At 48.4% G+C, this 18,389-nt stretch overlaps 1 pseudogene, besides 1 other annotated feature; it reads right to left on the bottom strand.

Moving 5' to 3' along the window:
- Positions 1,852-2,052: a silencer, noted in NCBI's record as "peak4823 fragment used in MPRA reporter construct". NCBI's record gives its function as "represses an SCP1 promoter by STARR-seq MPRAs in K562 erythroleukemia cells {active_cell/tissue: K562}" and the evidence as "EXISTENCE:reporter gene assay evidence [ECO:0000049][PMID:32103011]".
- On the bottom strand, positions 16,582-18,197 carry MARK2P17 (MARK2 pseudogene 17; annotated as a pseudogene).

The raw sequence follows: 18,389 nt of genomic DNA on the forward strand, positions 1-18,389 counted from the left end.
TGCCTGGATTGGGCTATTGTAGTTTCCCATTGACCTTAATCACAGGGCATGGTAATACTAAGAGATGCCCTAAGGGATCCTATATTCCATGCATACTCTTCTTTATTACCTTCATTGTGGAGTAGTAGTCTGATTTCATCTTGATAGTCCAGGTCAATCACCCCAGCCAACACTGTAACTCCCTTCTTAGCCTGTGGACTTAGAGGCAAGAGGAGCCCAAAGTGGTCAGTTGGCAGTCTTCCACTTTAACAGAATTATTATTTTGTCTCCTGGTGCCAACATTCCTCCCTCTAGAACTGAGACCTCTAGGCCAGCAGAACATAATGTTGCAGGAACAGGAAGCAAAACTTTGCTAGTGGGTCACTAGGGGTGATGGTGAATGGTGCCACATCCACTTCCACCCCTTGATTCCTGGATCTGTGAATGCTGGCTATGGGAGAAACAGTACCATAAGTTGGATGCTGATTCAGAGCATACACGGCCTTCTGGAGAGCTTTGCCCCAGTCCTGCAAAGTATTGTCACCTAGTTGGCATTGTAATTGTGACTTCAAAAGGCCATTCCACTGTTCTATCAATCCAGCTGCTTAAGGATGATGGGAAACATGGTAAAACCAGTTAACTCCATGAGCATGTGCCCACTGCTGCACTTCTTTAGCCCGTAAAGTGAGTGCCTTGGTCGGAGGCAATGCTGTGTGGAATACCATGATGGTGGATAAGGCATTCCGTTGAGTCCGAGGATGGTAGTCTTGGTAGAAGCGTTGCGTGCAGGATAGGCAAACCCACGTCCAGAGTAAGTGTCTATTCCAGTGAAGACAATCCTCTGCCTTTTCCATGATGGAAGAGGTCCAATGTAATCAACCTGCCACCAAGAAACTGGCTGATCACCCTGAGGAATGGTGTCATATCGAGGGCTCAGTGATGGTCTCTGCTGCTTGCAAATTGGGCACTAAGCAGTGGCCATAGCCAAGTCAGCCTTGGTGAGTGGAAGTCCATGTTGCTGAGCCCATGTGTAACCTCCATCCCTGCCACCATGGCCACTTTGTTTATGAGCCCATTGGGCGATGACAGGGGTGGCTGGAGAAAGAGGCTGAGTGGTGTCTATAGAATGAGTCTTGATTGATAAATATCCACGATAAAAATCCTCCTTTGCTGAGGTCACTCTTTGGTGAGCACTCACATGGGACACAAATATCTTCATGGTTTTTGACCACATATTGTGGTCAGAGAAATCCATCCACATACCTCTTTCCCCAGTTCACCAATTTTCCAATCATGCTTCTTCCAAGTCCCTGTCCATCCAGTCAAACCATTGGCTACAGCCCATGAGTCAGTATATAATTGCGCATCTGGCCATTTCTCCTTCCTTGCAAAGTGCAGAGCCAGGTGCACTGCTCGAAGTTCTGCCCGCTGGGAAGATTTCCCTTTCACCACTGTCCTTCAGGGATACCCTAGAAAGGGGCTGCAGCTGTCCACTTATGGGTGGTACCTGCATATTGTGCAGAGCCATCTGTAAACTAGGCCCTTGTCTTCTCTTCCTTTGTCAACTGATCATAGGGCCATGAGGCCACTGGTGCAGGCTGGGAGAGAGAAGGCAGGGTGGCAGGAGTGGGGACCATGGGCATTTGAGTCACTTCCTCATGTAACTTACTTGTGCCTTCAGAACCTGCTCGAGCCGGATCACATACGTACCGCTTCATTTGATGATGGAATGCTGCTGTGCACACCCCTCCCACTTTATGGGTAGATGGGTCAGCAAACACCCAGTTCATGATATGCAGTTCATGTCACATGGTGACTTGGTGACCCATAGTCAAATGTTCAGTTTCTAACAGGCCAAGAGCTGTCTCTCGAAAGGAGACTAGTTATCTTCAGAAGATGGCAGAGCCTTGCTCCAAAATCCCAGAGGCCTCTGCTATGATTCACCTGTCAGGGCCTGCCAAAGGTTCCAAACATCATCGCTATCTACCACTGACACCTCAAGCACCATTGGATCTGCTGTGTCATATGGCCCAAGTGGCAGAGCAGCTTGCACAGCAGCCTGGACCTCTTGCAGAGTCTTCTTCTGTTCTGGACCCACTCAAAACTGGCAGCCTTTCGGGTCACTTGACAAGTGGGCCGGAGTAACACACCTGAATGAGGAATGTGTTGCCTCCAAAGTCCAAATAGGCCCACTAGACATTTTGCCTCTTTCTTGGTTGTAGGAGGGGCCAAATGCAACAACTTATCCTTCACCTTAAAAGGAATATATTGACAGGCCCCAACCCACTGGACCCCTAGATATTTTACTGCGGTAGTAGGTCCCTGTGTTACCGGAAGGTGCCATGCAGGTCTAGGCTTTTGGTGTCTTGAACAAAGAATTGGATGAGACACACACAGATAGCAAAGCAAGGCAGCAGAAGTGGATTAGGCACAGTGCTCCACTCTCAGAGGGGGAGCGCAGACCAACCTCTGCGAGGTGAGATCAGATCCAGCGTGGTGTAGTTTGGATCTTTTTATGGGTTTTTTCCTTCTCTTCCCAAGGCTCCCTAATCTCTAGCCAGTGTCTGCCTTTTTGATTGATAGGTGGGTTGCTTAGTTACTTTGGCCCCTCTGCGCTTGTGCACCGCGTCCGATATGCAGTCCATATGCATTGTTGGGAAAAAGACTTATGGGGTGCCTGCATAAACTGGCCATAAAAATATGGGACAATAAGTTGAGGAAAGCCTCGTAATTGCCATCATGTTCCCACGCTCAGAGCGAGACCCACTCTTTTTTTTTTTTTTTTTTTTTTTTTTTTGAGGCAGTCTCGCTCTGTCACCCAGGCTGGAATGCAGTGGCCCGATCTCCACTCACTGCAAGCTCCGCCTCCCGGGTTCACGCCATTCTCCTGCCTCAGCCTCCCGAGTAGCTGGGACTACAGTGGGTGCCCACCACCATGCCCAGCTAATTTTTTGTATTTTTAGTAGAGACGGAGTTTCACCGTGTTAGCCAGGATGGTCTTGATCTCTTGACCTTGTGATCTGCCCACCTTGGCCTCCCAAAGTGCTGGGATTACAGGCTTGAGCCACTGAGCCCGGCCAAGAGACCCGCTCTCTTATCTGTAAACACTGTGTTCAAGGAGAAAGACACTCTTTTGAAACACTGGAATGTGGACAGACATGCAGGCTCTTAGTTAAGCCCGCTTCCACTAGCTACTCTCCGATAAATTAAAGATATGCTGTTTGAGCACAAAGGAGATTCATTTAAACCACTATTGCTATAGATTACGCCTATTTTCATGCGTGTCCGTGTGAAGAGACCACCAAACAGGCTTTGTGTGAGCAACATGGCTATTTATTTCACCTGGGTGCAGGCGGGCTGAGTCCGAAAAGAGAGTCAGCGAAGGGAGATGGATTATCATTAGTTCTTATAGGTTTTGGGATAGTTAAGAGCAATGTTTTGTGGGCAGGGGGTGGATCTCACAAAGTACATTCTCAAGGGTGGGGAGAATTACAAAGAACCTTCTTAAGGGTGGGGGAGATTACAAAGTACATTGATCAGTCAGGGTGGGGCAGGAACAAATCACAATGGTGGAATGTCATCAGGTAAGGCTATTTTCACTTCTTTTGTGGCTGCTTCAAGCGGGATTAGGGGCGGCGTGGGAACCTAGAGTGGAAGAGATTAAGCTGAAGGAAGATTTTGTGGTAAGGGGTGATATTGTGGGGTTGTTACAAGAAACATTTGTCATGTAGAATTATTGGTGATGGCCTGGATATGGTTTTGTATGAATTGAAAAACTAAATGGAATAAGAGAAGGAGAAAAACACGTATAAAAGGTCTAGGAATTGGGAGGACCTAGGACATCTGATTAGAGAGTGCCTAAGGAGATTCAGCATAGTCCTGCCAGCAAAGATTATTTATTTACTTTGAGTTAAGAGTGGCAGTTTGGGGATAGCACGAGGAGATATCAGCTGTGATGGCTTGGAGAAACAGTGTAAACCGGCAGTGTAAACAAGAGCAGGGCATGTATGAGTAGTTGAGAACGGTGAATAGGAGTATGACTAGACAGAAAATAGTAAGGATGACAAGTTTTTTTGGGGCACAGTCTAAGTTAGTCTGGTGTCTGGAATGAGACTGGGGCCTAATAAAAAGGAGCTCAAATGGGCTGTACCCTGTAGCATTCTGAGGACAGGTCTGACTTCTGAGAAGGGAAAGTGGTAAAAGTATTGTCCAGTCCTTTTTAAGTTGGTGGCTGAGCTTGGTGAGCTGTGTTTTTAAAGGACCTTTAGTCCGTTCTACTTTTCTTGAAGACGGAGGACCATAAGGGATATAAAGGTTTCACTGAATACTAAGAGCCTGAAAAACTGCTTGGCTGATTTGACTAATAAAGGCTGGTCTATTATCAGACTGTATAGAGGTGGGAAGGCTAAACTGAGGAATTATGTCTGACAGAAGGGAAGAAATGACTGCGTGGCCTTCTCAGACCCTGTAGGAAAGGCCTCTACTTATCTAGTGAAAGTGTCTACTTAGACTAAGAGGTATTTTTGTTATCTGTCTCGGGGCATGTTGAGTAAAGCTAATTTGCCATTCCTGGGTGGGGGCAAATCTTCAAGCTTGATGTGTAGGGAAAGGAGGGGGCCTGAATAATCCCTGAGGAGTAGTAGAATAGCAGATGGAAAACTGAGAAGTTATTTCCTTGAGGATAGATTTCCACGATGGAAAGGAAATGAGAGGTTCTAAGAGGCGGGCTAGTGGCTTGTGCTATCGCATAGCCTGCCTTTGCTGGTGTGTGGTGATTAGGCCTGGTGGAACTGCCATCAATAAATCAAGCGTGATCAGGGTGAGGAAAAGGAAAGAAGGAAATATGGGGAAATGGGGTGAATGTCAGTTGGATCAGAGACATACAGTCATGGAGGTCAGGTGTGGTATCAGGAATAATGTGGGAGGCCAGATTGAAGTCCGGGCCAGGAACAATGGTAATTGTGGGACTTAACAAAGAGTAAGTACAGCTGAAGGAGCCAGGGAGTATATGCGTCAGGTATGAGGAAGAAAATAGATTTTGGAAGTTATGAGAAATGTAGAGAGTGAGTTGAGCATAGTTTGTGATTTTTAGGGCCTCTAAAAGTATTCAAGCAGCGGCAGCCGCTGCACGCAGACATGAGGGCTAGGCTAAAACAGTAAGGTCAAGTTGTTTGGACAGAAAGGCTACACGGTGTGGTCCTGGCTCTTGTGTAAGAATTCTGGCCGCACTAACCATGCCCAGGAAGGAAAAGAGTTCTTGTTTTTTAGAAGGGATTGAGGTTTGGGAGATTAATCGGACATGATCAGCAGGGAGAGAATGTGTGTTTTTATGAGAATTATGCTGAGATAGGTAACAGATAAGGAAGAAATTTGGGCTTGACTGAAGTAATGGGGGCTGTCTGTGAAGCTTTGTGGCAGTACAGCCCAGGTAATTTGCTGAGTCTGATGGGTGTCAGGGTCAGTCCAAGTAAAAGCAAAGAGAGGCTGGGATGACGGGTGCAAAGGAATAGTAAAGAAAGCATGTTTGAGATCCAGAACAGAATAATGGGTAGTAGAGGGAGGTATTGAGGATAGGAGAGTATATGGGTTTGGCACCATGGGGTGGATAGGCAAAACAATTTGGTTGATAAGGCATAGATCCTGAACTAACTTGTAAGGCTTGTCTGGTTTTAGGACAGGTAAAATGGGGGAATTGTAAGGAGAGTTTATAGGCTTTAAAAGGCCATGCTGTAGCAGGCAAGTGATAACAGGCTTTAATCCTTTCAAAGCATGCTGTGGGATGGGATATTGGCATTGAGCGGGGTAAGGATGATTAGGTTTTAATGAGATGGTAAGGGGTGCATGATAGGTCGCCAAGGAGGGAGTAGAGGTATCTTGTGGGTTAAGGTCGGGGGATACAAGAGGAGGACACAAAGGAGGCTTTGGATTGGAAAGAAGGGCAGCAATGAGATGTAACTGTAATCCAGGAATAGTCAGGGAAGCAGATAATTTAGTTAAAGTGTCTCGGCCTAATAAGGGAACGGGGCAGGTGGGGATAATTAAGAGGAGTGCTTAAAAGAGTATTGTCTAAGTTGACACCAGAGTTGGGGAGTTTTAAGAGGTTTAGAAGCCTGGCCGTCAATACCCACAACAGTTATGGAGGCAAGGGAAACAGGCCCTTGAAAAGAAGGTAATGTGGAGTGGGTAGCCTCCGTATTGATTAAGAAGAGGACGGACTTACCTTCCACTGTGAGAGTTACCTAAAGCTCGGTGTCCATGATGGTCTACGGGGCTTCCAAGGCGATCGGGCAGCGTCAGTCTTCAGCCATTAAGCCGAGAAGATCTGGGAAGGAGTCAGTCAGAGAGCCTTGGGCCAGAGTTCCAGGGGCTCTGGGAGGGGCTGCCAGGTGAGTTGAACAGTCCGATTTTCAGTGGGGTCCCACACAGATGGGACACGGCTTAGGAGGAATCCCGGGCTGCGGGCATTCCTTGGCTCGGTGGCCAGATTTCTGGCACTTGTAGCAAGCTCCTGGGGGAGGCAGTTCTGGAGGAACACCTGGCCACTGCTGTTTAGGTGTTTGGAAGTTCTTGTGTGCTGGAGATGTTGCTGGGGTTTGTCTCACAGTGGAGGCAAGGAATTCCAACTTTTTTCTATTATTGTACACCTTGAAGGCAAGGTTAAATCCTGTTGTGGGGTTTGAGGGCCGGAATTTAATTTTTGGAGTTTTATTTAATGTCAGGAGCAGATTGGGTAATAAAATGTATATTAAGAATAAGACGGCCCTTTGACCTTTTAGGGTCTAGGGCTGTAAAGCTTCTCAGGGTTGCTGCCAAACGAGCCATGAACTGGGCTGGGTTTTTATATTTGATGAAAAAGAGCCTAAAGGCTACCTGATTTGGGATAAAGAAAAAGGAGCATTAACCTTGACTATGCCTTTAGCTCCAGCCACCTTTTTAAGAGTAAATTGCTGGGCAGGTGGGGGAGGGCTAGTCACAGAATGAAACCATAAGCCGGACCAGGTGTGAGGAGGGGAGGTGATAAATGGATTATAGAGTGGAGGAGCAGAAGCTGAAGAAGAATTGGGACCTAGCTTGGCCTGGCGAGGAGCAGCCTGGGGAGGAGGGGAGAGGTCAGATGGGTCTGTAGAAAAGGAAGATTAGAAAGACGCAGTGACGCTTGACGTTGGGACTGAGGGGACAGGCAAGAGGGAAAGAAGGAAGATTTGGGATGAGTTGCATTGGGCACAGAGACTAGGAAGGGACTGATGTGTAAAAGAATGCCTGGATGTCAGGCATCTCAGACCATTTGCCCATTTTATGACAAGAATTATTTAGATCTTGTAGGATGGAAAAATTGAAAGTGCCGTTTTCTGGCTATTTGGAACTACTGTCGAGTTTGTATTGGGGTCAAGCGGCATTGCAGAAGAAAATAAGATGCTTAGATTTTAGGTCAGGTGAGAGTTGAAGAGGTTTTAAGTTCTTAAGAACACAGGCTAAGGGAGAAGGAGGAGGAATGGAAGGTGGAAGCTTGCCCATAGTGAAGGAGGCAAGCCCAGAGAAAAGAGTAGAGACACGGAGAAGGGGTAGGGGGTTCTTGCCCTCCAGAAAAGCAGAGAAGGTGTTGGGGCACGGAAATAAGGGATTGGGGGTTCTTGCCCTCTAGAAAAGCGGGACTTGCCACTAAGGGTGAAGGAGAAGGGGTTGAGGGGTTCTTGCCCCTGCCCCAGAAGAGCAGAGAAGGGGTAGAGACACGGAGAGAAGGGTTTGGGGTACTTGCCCCTCCCCCAGAAAACCAGAGAAGGGGTAGAGACATGAAGAGAAGGGGTTGGGGTATGTGCCCCTCCCCCAGAAAACCAGAGAAGGGGTAGAGACACAGAGAGAAGGGGTTGGGGTACTTGCCCCTCCCCCAGAAAAGCGGGACTTGCCGCTAAGGGTGAAGGACCAAGGCAGGCGTCCCTGCGTGGTCTGACACCTTTGAAACGTGGGTGAATAATCAGAGAGATGTCCCTGCAATGATTAAACACCAAGGGAAGGCTGCCTTCCCAGTCCGTGACCGGTGCCGGAGTTTTGGGTCCACGGATAAAACGTGTCTCCTTTGTCTCTACCAGAAAATGAAAGGAATTGAAATTAAGAGAAGGGAGAGATTGAAGTGTGGCACCAAGATTGAAAGGAGAAAGAGGTTGAGGGATAGTGAGGGAATTTGGAGAAGAGAGTAAAAAGAGGCTACTTACTGGATTTGAAATTGGTGAGATGTTTCTTGGGCTGGTCCATCTGAGGACCTGAGGTCATACATAGATGGATCTTTCTCATGCAGCAAAGAGCAAGGAGGACAGGGGATTGATCTCCCAAGGGAGGTCCTCCGAACCGAGTCATGGTACCAAATTTCATGCACGTCCGTGTGAAGAGACCACCAAACAGGCTTTGTGTGAGCAACATGGCTGTTTATTTCACCTGGGTGCAGGCGGGCTGAGTCCGAAAAGAGAGTCAGCGAAGGGAGATGGATTATCATTAGTTCTTACAGGTTTTGGGATAGGCGGTGAAGTTAAGAGCAATGTTTTGTGGGCAGGGGTGGATCTCACAAAGTACATTCTCAAGGGTGGGGAGAATTACAAAGAACCTTCTTAAGGGTGGGGGAGATTACAAAGTACATTGATCAGTTATGGTGGGGCAGGAACAAATCACAATAGTGGAATGTCATCAGTTAAGGCTATTTTCACTTCTTTTGTGGATCTTCAGTTACTCCAGGCCATCTGGATGTATACGCGCATGTCACAGGGGATGCGATGGCTTGGCTTGGGCTCAGAGGCCTGACACCTATGACGCACTGCCACCCTTTCACTGTTTCGTCCTGAACATCTGCTTCTTAGATCTAAGTGATTATACTCAATAGTGTGGAGACCAGAGCTCTGAGCCTTTTGTGGCCTCCATTTGCAACTGGCCCCCTGGCTCCCACCTTTATGAGCACTTAACCTGTCTCTTCTCAATCCTTTGTTACCACCCGACCTCGGGTACCCTGTGGGTGGTGTTGAGGCTGGTCCCCAACATGCATGAGCTTTAATGAGCTGATTATCATACGGGGTCATGGTAAGGAAATGTTTTCTCTCTAATGCACATGCCTAGCCCTGAAGAGCGGCCCCTTACTGGTTTGGTCTGGATCCTGCCAGCCAGGGTGTACTTGCTCACTTCTCTTTTTGTTTTGACTGCTCAACTTCTAGCTCTCATCTTGCTTCTTGCCCACTGCCCTTTTACCTTGCTTCTACTTTCTGCTTTTAGTCATTCTGCCCTTTATTTAACTTTTAATTACCTTTGCTACCCTCCTGCTCAGTTTCCCTATTCTCCAGCCTCACCTGAATTTTAGTCAGATTTATTTCCCATCCGCTGGCACATAAATGTCTCAACAATGAGTCCAGTGTGGTTGCTACTTGTCGCTCCCGTCAGCATAATGTCGTCAATGTAACGGACCAGTGTGATACCTCATGCGAGGGAAGCACCAGTAAGATGTCTGTGAAGAAGATTATGACACAAAGCCAGATAGGTGATAGAGCCCTGAGGTAGGACCATGAAGGTATACTGCTGGCCTTCCCAGCTGAAGGCAAATTGCTTCTGGTGGTCCTTATAGACAGGAATGAAGAAGAATGCAATGCCCCACACTCAACCGCCAACAGCCCAAAGCCAAGACTCCCTCAGCCTTGCACCCTGTGGCAGAGCCCCGGGAGGCTGCCTCCCTTCCAGCGCTGCTGCCCAGGAGTGGACGGGTGGACAGGCATCAGGGTGTCTCAAGTCAGGGCCACCCTGATGCAGCTGCCCCAAGACCTACAGCTGACCAAGTGCAGCTATGTCCTCTGCGGGCCACCTGTCAAGGTCACAAGTGACAGATGCCACAAGGCACAGTGGCCTGCCCTGCCCAGGGCTGACCTTCAGGGTGGGCAGGGGGCACTATCTCAGGTCCTCTCTGTCTCACAGGTCCATGTGAAGAGACCAACAAACAGGCTTTGTGTGAGCAACAAGGCTGTTTATTTCACCTGGGTGCAGGCAGGCTGAATCTGAAAAGAGAGTCAGCAAAGGGTGGTGGATTATCATTAGTTCTTACAGGTTTTGGGATAGGCAGTGGAGTTAAGAGCAATGTTTTGGGGGCAGGGGGTGGATCTCACAAAGTACATTCTCAAGGGTGGGGGAGATTATAAAGAACCTTCTTAAGGGTGGGGGAGATTACAAAGTACATTGATCAGTTAGGGTGGGGCAGAAACAAATCACAATGGTGGAATGTCATCAGTTAAGGCTATTTTCACTTCTTTTGTGGATCTTCAATTACTTCAGGCCAGAGGGATGTATACATGCAGGTCACAGGGGATATGATGGCTTAGCTTGGGCTCAGAGGCCTGACATTCCTGTCTTATATTCATAAGAAAAATAAAATGAAATAGTGGTAAAGTGTTGGGGCAGTGAAAATTTTTGGGGGTGGTATGGAGAGATAATGGGCAATGTTTCTCAGGGCTGCTTCGAGTGGGATTAGGGGCAGCGTGGGAACCTAGAGTGGAAGAGATTAAGCTGAAGGAAGATTTTGTGGTAAGGGGTGATATTGTGGGGTTGTTAGAAGAAACATTCGTCGTATAGGATTGGTGATGGCCTGGATACGGTTTTGGATGAAGTGAGAAACTAAACGGAAAACACGAGGTCCAAATAAGAGAAGGAGAAAAACAGATATTAAAGGACTAAGAATTGGGAGGACCCAGGACATCCAATTACAGAGTGCCCAACGGGGTTCAGTGTAATTACTTGTTTGGCTGGTGAGTTTTTGGGATCTATCCTTGACAGAGTCCTCCTTTTTTAAGTTGGAGGCTGAGCTTGGTGAGGTGTGTTTTTAAAAGACCATTAGTCCATTCTACCTTTCCTGAAGATTAAGGACGATAAGGGGTATGAAGATTCCACTGAATACCAAGAGCCTGAGAAACTGCTTGGGTGATTTGACTAATAAAGGCCAGTCCATTATCAGACTGTATAGAGGTGGGAAGGCCAAACTGAGGAATTACGTCTGACAAAAGGGAAGCAATGACCACAGTGGCCTTCTCAGACCCTGTGGGAAAGGCCTCTACCCATCCAGTGAAAGTGTCTACCCAGACCAAGAGGTATTTTAGTTTCCTGACTTGGAGCATGTGAGTAAAGTCAATTTGCCAGTCCTGGGTGGGGGCAAATCCCCGAGCTTGATGTGTAGAGAAGGGAGGGGGCCTGAATAATCCCTGAGGAGTAGTAGAATAGCAGATGGAACACTGAGAAGTTATTTCCTTAAGGATAGATTTCCACGATGGAAAGGAAGTGAGAGGTTCTAAGAGGCAGGCTAGTGGCTTGTAACTTTTACATGGAAGAGGTTATGAAATGATGACAGAATAGAATGGGCCTGTGAGGCTGGAAGGAGGTATTTTCCTTGGTCTAAGAACCATTTGCCTTGTGTGGGAAGAGATTGATAGGTGGAAATTTCAGTGGGGGAGTAGGTGGGAGTGACCGATGAGAAGGAGAAAAACTGCCGTGAGAGATAGAAGTTGGAATGCTAGCTGCTTTTTTAGCTACCTTATCAGCATAAGTGCTGCCCTGAGTGATGGGATCTGATGCCTTTTTATGACCCTTGCAGTGAATGACTCTAGGTTTTTTTGGAAGTAAAGCGGCCTTGAGAAGAGTTTTTATTAAAGAGGCATTATTGATGGAGGACCTTTGTGTAGTGAGGAAACCTCTTTTTGCCCATGTAACAGCATGGTGGTACAGCATATGGAAGGCATATTTAGAGTCAGTATAAATATTGATGCGTAGTCCTTTGCAATAGTGAGGGCTCGAGTTAAGGCAATGAGTTTGGCTTGTTGAGAGGTAGTGGAGGGGGGCAGAGTGGTAGCCTCAATGATATATGTGGAAGATACTATAGAATAGCCTGCCTTTGCTGGTGTGTGGTGATTAGGCCTGGTGGAACTGCCATCACTAAACCAGGTGTGATCAGGGTGAGGAACAGGAAAGAAGAAAATTTGGGGAAATGGAGCGAATGCCAGGTGTATCCGAGAGATACAGTCATGGGGGTCAGGTGTGGTATCAGGAATAATGTGACAGGCTGGATTGAAGTCCAGGCCGGGAACAATGGTAATTGTGGGAGACTCAAAAAAGAGTGAGTCTAGCCAAAGGATCTAGGGAGCAGAAGGTATATGTGTCAGGTATGAGGAAGAAAATAGATTTTGGAAGTTATGAGAATTGTAGATAGTTGAGCATAGTTTGTGATTTTGAGGGCCCCTATTAAAGCAGTGGCAGCCGCCACACGCAGACATGAGGGCTAGGCTAAAAGAGTAAGGTCAAGTTGTTTGGACAGAAAGACTACAGGGCACCGTCCCGGCTCTTGTGTAAGAATTCCGACCATGCAGCCCTGCACTTCGGCTGTGTGTAATGAAAAAGGTTGGGATGAGTTAGGGAGAGCTAGTGTGGGAGCAGCCTTTAGGGCTATTTTTTAAGGAATGGAAAGGGGAGTGGGGAAAGGATTTAGGATTTATGGGGTCAGCTAGGTTTATCTAGAACAGAATAATGGGCTGTGGAGGGAGGTATTGAGGATAGGAGAGTATATGGCTTTGGCACCATGGGGTGAATAGGCAAGACAATTTGGTTGATAAGGCGCAGATCCTGAACTAACCTGTAAGACTTGTCCAGTTTCTGGACAGGTAAAATGGAGGAATTGTAAGGAGAGTTTATACGCTTTAAAAGGCCATGCTGTAGCAGGTGAGTGATAACAGGCTTTAATCCTCCTAAGCATGCTGTGGGATGGGATATTGGCATTGAGCGGGGTAAGAGTGATTAAGTTTTAATGGGATGATAAGGGGTCCATCATCCATCGCCAAGGAGGGAGTAGAGGTGTCCTATACTTGTGGATTAAGGTGGGGAGATACAAGGAGAGGATGTGAAGGAGGCTTTGAACTGGGGGAAAGGCAGCAATGAGGTGTGGCTGTAGCCCAGGAATAGTCAGGGAAGCAGATAATTTAGTTAAAATGTCTCGACCTAATAAGGGAGCTGGGCAGTTGGGGATAATTAAAAGGAGTGCATAAAAGAATGTTGTCCAAGTTGGCACCAGAGTTGGAGAGTTTTAAGGGGTTTTGGGGCTTGGCCATTAATACCCACAACAGTTATGGGGGCAAGGGAAACAGGCCCTTGAAAAGAAGGTAATGTGTAGTGGGTAGCCCCCATATCAATTAAAGAGGGGACGGACTTACCCTCCACTGTAAGAGTTACCCAAAGCTCGGTGTCTGTGATGGTCCAGGGGGCTTCCGAGGCGATCAGGCGGCATCAGTCTTCAGCTGCTAAGCCGAGGAGATCTGGGAATGAGTCGGCCAAAGAACGTTGGGTCTGGGTTCCAGGGGCTTTAGGAGCGGCAGCGATGTGAGTCGGGCAGTCCGACCTCCAGTGGGGGCCAGCACAGGCAGGGCACGGCTTAGGAGGAATCCCAGGCTGCGGGCATACTGAGGCCCAGTGGCCAGGCTTTTGGCATTTGAAGCAAGGTCCACGAGGATGTTTTGAAGGAGCCCCTGGGAGCTGTGGCTTTGATGTTCTGAAGTTCTTGTATGCTGGAGACGTGGTTGTGGGTTGTCTTACAGCAGAGGCAAGTAGCTGTAACTCAGAAATGCGTTGCTGTCTGGCTACCTCCTCTCTATCCTCTCTATTATTGTACACCTTGAAGGCGAGGTTGATTAATTCCTGTTGTGGGGTTTGAGGGCCAGATTCCAATTTTTGAAGCTTTTTTCTAACGTCAGGAGCTGACTGGGTGATAAAATGCATATTAAGAATAAGGCGGCCTTCTGGCCCCTCTGGGTCTAGGGCGGTAAAGCGTCTAAGTGTTGCTGCTAAGCGGGCCCTGAACTGGGCTGGGTTTTCGTCTTTACCTTGGGTAGTTTCTTTAAGTTTGTCAGAATTAACAGGTTTGTAAGCTGCCTTTTTAAGCCCTTCAACTAGGCAGGAAACCATGTAATCTTGCCCAGCTATACCTGGGGAATCTGCCTGATAGTTCCACTGGGGATCTTCTAGGGGAACTGCTCTAATGCCTTCCTGGAGGCCTGGCTTATGAAGCTGGCGGTTATCAGCATGAGATTGGGCTGGAGAAAAAACTCTTTCCCATTCATCTGGGGAGCGGGTAGAAGTTAGGTTGACACTTAAGTCACTCCAGGTTAAATTGTAGGACAGAATTGGATATCGGAATTCCTGTATATATTTAGTGGGGTCTGATGAGAAAGAGCCTAAACGCCGGCTGATTTGGGAAAGGTCTCATGGAGAAAAAGGCACATGTACCCTGACTATGCCTTCAGCTCCAGCCACCTCTCTAAGAGGAAATTGTTGGGCAGGTCGGAGAGAGCTAGTCACAGAACGAAACTGTAAACCAGACCAGGTGTGAGGAGAGGAGGTGATAGAAAGATTATAGGGTGGGGGAGCAGAGGCTGAGGAAGAATTGGGACCTGGCTCGGCCTGGCGAGGAGCAGCCCAGGGAGAAGGGGAGAGGTCAGATGAGTCCATAGAAAATAAGGATTCAAAGGACTCAGAGCTTGGGGTGGAGACTGAAGGAACAGACAGCAGAGAAAGAAGAAAGATTTGGGATGAGTCTCATCGGGAGCAGAGACTAGGGAGGGACCAATGTGTAAAGAATGCCTGGACATCAGGCACCTCAGACCATTTGCCCATTTTTCGACAAAAATTCTGTAGATCTTGTAGGATAGACAAATCAAAAGTGCCATTCCCTGGCCACTTGGAACTACTGTAGAGTTTGTACTGGGGCCAAGTGGTATTGCAGAAGAAAATAAGGTGTTTAAATTTTAGGTCAGGCAAGAGTTGAAGAGGTTTTAAGTTCTTGAGAACACAGGCTAAGGGAGAAAAAGGAGGAATGGAGGGTGGAAGTTTGCCTATAGTGAAGGAGGAAGTTTAAAGAGAAGGGTAGAGACACAGAGAAGGGGGGTGGGGAGCAGCCCTGGGCTGCAATGTGGGTGAGCAGCCAAAGCAGGCATCCCCGCAATTGACTTGCCACCAAGGGAATGTGGGTGAATGACCAAGGCAGGCGTCCCCGCGGTGATCAGACACCAATGGAGAGTGAGTGAATAATCAGGCAGGCATCCCCGCAATGATTAAACACCAAGGGAAGGCTGTCTTCCTGAGTCCGTGATCAGCGCCGGAGTTTTGGGTCCATGGATAAAATGTGTCTCCTTTGTCTCTACTAGAGAGGAAAAAGAACTGGAATTGGAAGGACAGGGAGATCAAAGGGTAGCAAGAGAGGAAGATTGAAGGGTAGCGAGAGAGGCTGGAGAAGAGAGTGAAAAGACCGCTTACCCAATTTGAAATTGGTGCGATGTTCCTTGGACTGGTTGGTCTGAGGACCGGAGATTGTAGGTGGATCTCTTCACGAAGTGAGGGTGAGGACAAGGGACTCCCGAAGGAGTCCCTCTGACCCGGGTCTTCGGCACCAAATGTCTAACACGTCTGTGTGAAGAGACCACCAAACAGGCTTTGTGTGAGCAACAAGGCTGTTTATTTCACCTGGGTGCAGGCGGGCTGAGTCCAAAAAGAGAGTCAGCAAAGGGTGGTGGGATTATCATTAGTTCTTACAGGTTTTGGGATAGGCGGTAGAGTTAGGAGCAATGTTTTGGGGGCAGGGGGTGGATCTCACAAAGTACATTCTCAAGGGTGGGGAGAATTACAAAGAATCTTCTTAAGGGTGGAGGAGATTACAAAGTACATTGATCAGTTAGGGTGGGGCAGAAACAAATCACAATGGTGGAATGTCATCAGTTAAGGCTATTTTCACTTCTTTTGTGGATCTTCAGTTACTTCAGGCCATCTGGATGTATACGTGCAGGTCACAGGGGATATGATGGCTTAGCTTGGGCTCAGAGGCCTGACACTCTCCCCTTCCTCAAGGCTCCTTCCTCACCTGGGGTGTACGGCTCCGAATCCCAGCACCTCAGGGGCCTTCCTGTTTCATTTTTGCTGACAAATGATTATTGAGCATCTCCCGTGTGCAGGGACAGAGAAGATAGACAAGCTGGCCCCCAGGTGGATGAGAGAGACTAGTCTATCAGTGCAGAAAACTACCAATAGGGACAAGGGCTAGGAAGGAAACACCAGGAAAAGTGCTGTTGGAAGATGGGGGTGACCCTGCTGCAGATGGGGTGCTCAGGGAGGGCTTCTCTGAGGTGGTGACAGTCACTTGATTGACAAAAGGGATGGGCAGGGCCTGTGGAAGTCTTCTGAGGAAGGGAACAGATGGTTTTTTAAACCATCAGATATGGTGAAACTCATTCACTATCGCAAGAACAACATGGGAAAGACCCGCCCCCATAACTCAATTACCTCCCACCACATTCCCCTCACGACACTTGAGAACTGTGGGAGTTACAATTCAAGATGAGATTTGGGTGGGAACACAGCCAAACCATATCAGAAATGCTACCTGATTTCTCTTCAGCCTCGGTTTCCTCACCTGGACAGTGGAGCTGGAGCCCCTCGGCTGCCTGACCCTGCTCTCTGGGTTGCCTCTAGGGACCCCACCCTGCTCAGGCCTGCTCCCACCCCTCCATGGCTGTCAGTCCCTCCCAAGAAGAATGTCCCCCCAACAGAGGCTGCTGGAGGTAAAGGGAGATGAACAAGCCAAGGTTGCCTGGCCTGCACTGAGGGCTGCATGGCTCTTGAGGCCCGGCCTGGGTGGACACTGGAGGGCACTTTCTGTCTGTGGGTTTTGCCCTGGTGCCTGGAGCCCCTTTCTCTGTGGTCTCTTGACCCAGCCCAGCTCAATGAGCCTGGAGCCCTGGGCTTCTGGAGAAGAGATGTCAAGCTCTACCACAGGTCACAGGTCAGAAACAACTCTCGCCTTGTCTGATGCAAATGGAAGCCAGGCCTGCTTCCCACAGGGCGGGCACTTCCAGTGGGGCACAGCAGCAAGGCAGAGGGACAGACTCTGAGGGGCCCTTGAGAAAATCAAGCAGGGCCCACAGGGACCCTCTCTCTGGGGTTGCAAACTGGCACTGGGTGGAGGGAGATTCGGTATTGACACCTGGGGACCCTTACCCCCAAAGTGGATGTTAAGGACAGCAGCACATTAGGGAGACAAGGGGCCCCACAACACTCCCAGCCTGTCCCCAGCCTGCTTCCGGCTTTCTGGTCCTTTTCTCTTGCGGGGAAGGAGAATTTTATCTGACTTTCTCTGACTTCTGGCCTTTCTTGGGCAGCTGAAAATGATAAGTAGGAAATACTGGCTTGCTTAGAGCCTTCTTTGGTTTTACTGGGAAATGGAAACTTTGGCAGATGGGGAAGGACAGTGGGAACCCCAGGAAAAAGGGACGATGCTCTGATGGTGGAGTGTTTCCTCTTCTGTTGTTTTCTGTGATCTAAAATGAGAGGTTGCTTGGGATAGTTGATTTGTTTTCCATTGATGACACTGAGATGTTCTTGGCCTGGAATCCCATGGCCACCACAAGTTGGGTTGTTTGGGGTTCGGGTGGTCCAGGAGTGGCTCTTGGTGTGGTGTGACTGGCAACCTCTGGACACTTTTCACCTATGGATTTTTCATCACTTGTTCCAGTGAAGGACACTCCTTGGGGTCCAGCATTAGTCACTTTTTAATAAGTCTTTCCATTCGTTGGGGAAAAAAATTGTGGTGAACGGTATTCTGCACTGATCATTTTTTCTTGAGGCCTGTAGGGTTCCCTGAGTAGAAGGGCAGGGCCCCGGCCACCATGGAATACAGTGTGGCACGGAGGCTCCATACAATCATGGTGGCGCTGGCACTCCTGGCCCAGGAAGAGTTCCGTGGCCACGTAGGGGTGCGCGCCACAAAATGTTTTCAGCATCTATGCCTCCCCGAATGTCATGCTAAAGCCAAAGTCCATGATTTTTATATTGCGTTCCTCATTGAGTAGCATGTTTTGTGTGTGGATGTGTGATGTTCTTCAAGTGGCAGTAGTGCAGGGCTGACAGAATCTGCCTGAACATGGTTCAGGCCTCCTCTTCCTCGATGTGGCCTTGGTGGCATATCTGGTGCTGTAGCTCTCCTCCTCTGGCGTACTCCATCACCACATACATGGTTTCCACCTTGTCAGTCACCTGGTGGAACTGAATGATATTTGGGTGATAGAGAGTCTTCATGATACTCATCTCTCTCTCTAGAGAGCAAGGCCAGCCTTCTTAGGGATGATTTGGAGGACAATTTGGGTCCCAGTTAGCCTATGCCGGGCCAGTTCCCTGGCGGATGGTGTCAAGGATCCCATAGTTTTGTATCTTTTTGCCAGGTGAGGTGGAGGCCGATCCCGGCTCTATGGTGCCTCCTAGCTACGCTGCCGCAAAGGGAGGTGAACAAGCCAAGGTTGCCCGGCCTGTACCTAGGGCCACACGGCTCCTGAGGCCTGGCATGAGTTGATACTGGAGGGGGCTTTCTCTTT

Source organism: Homo sapiens, chromosome 3 (genome assembly GCF_000001405.40).
Source record: "Homo sapiens chromosome 3, GRCh38.p14 Primary Assembly".
NCBI classification, from domain to species: domain Eukaryota; kingdom Metazoa; phylum Chordata; class Mammalia; order Primates; family Hominidae; genus Homo; species Homo sapiens.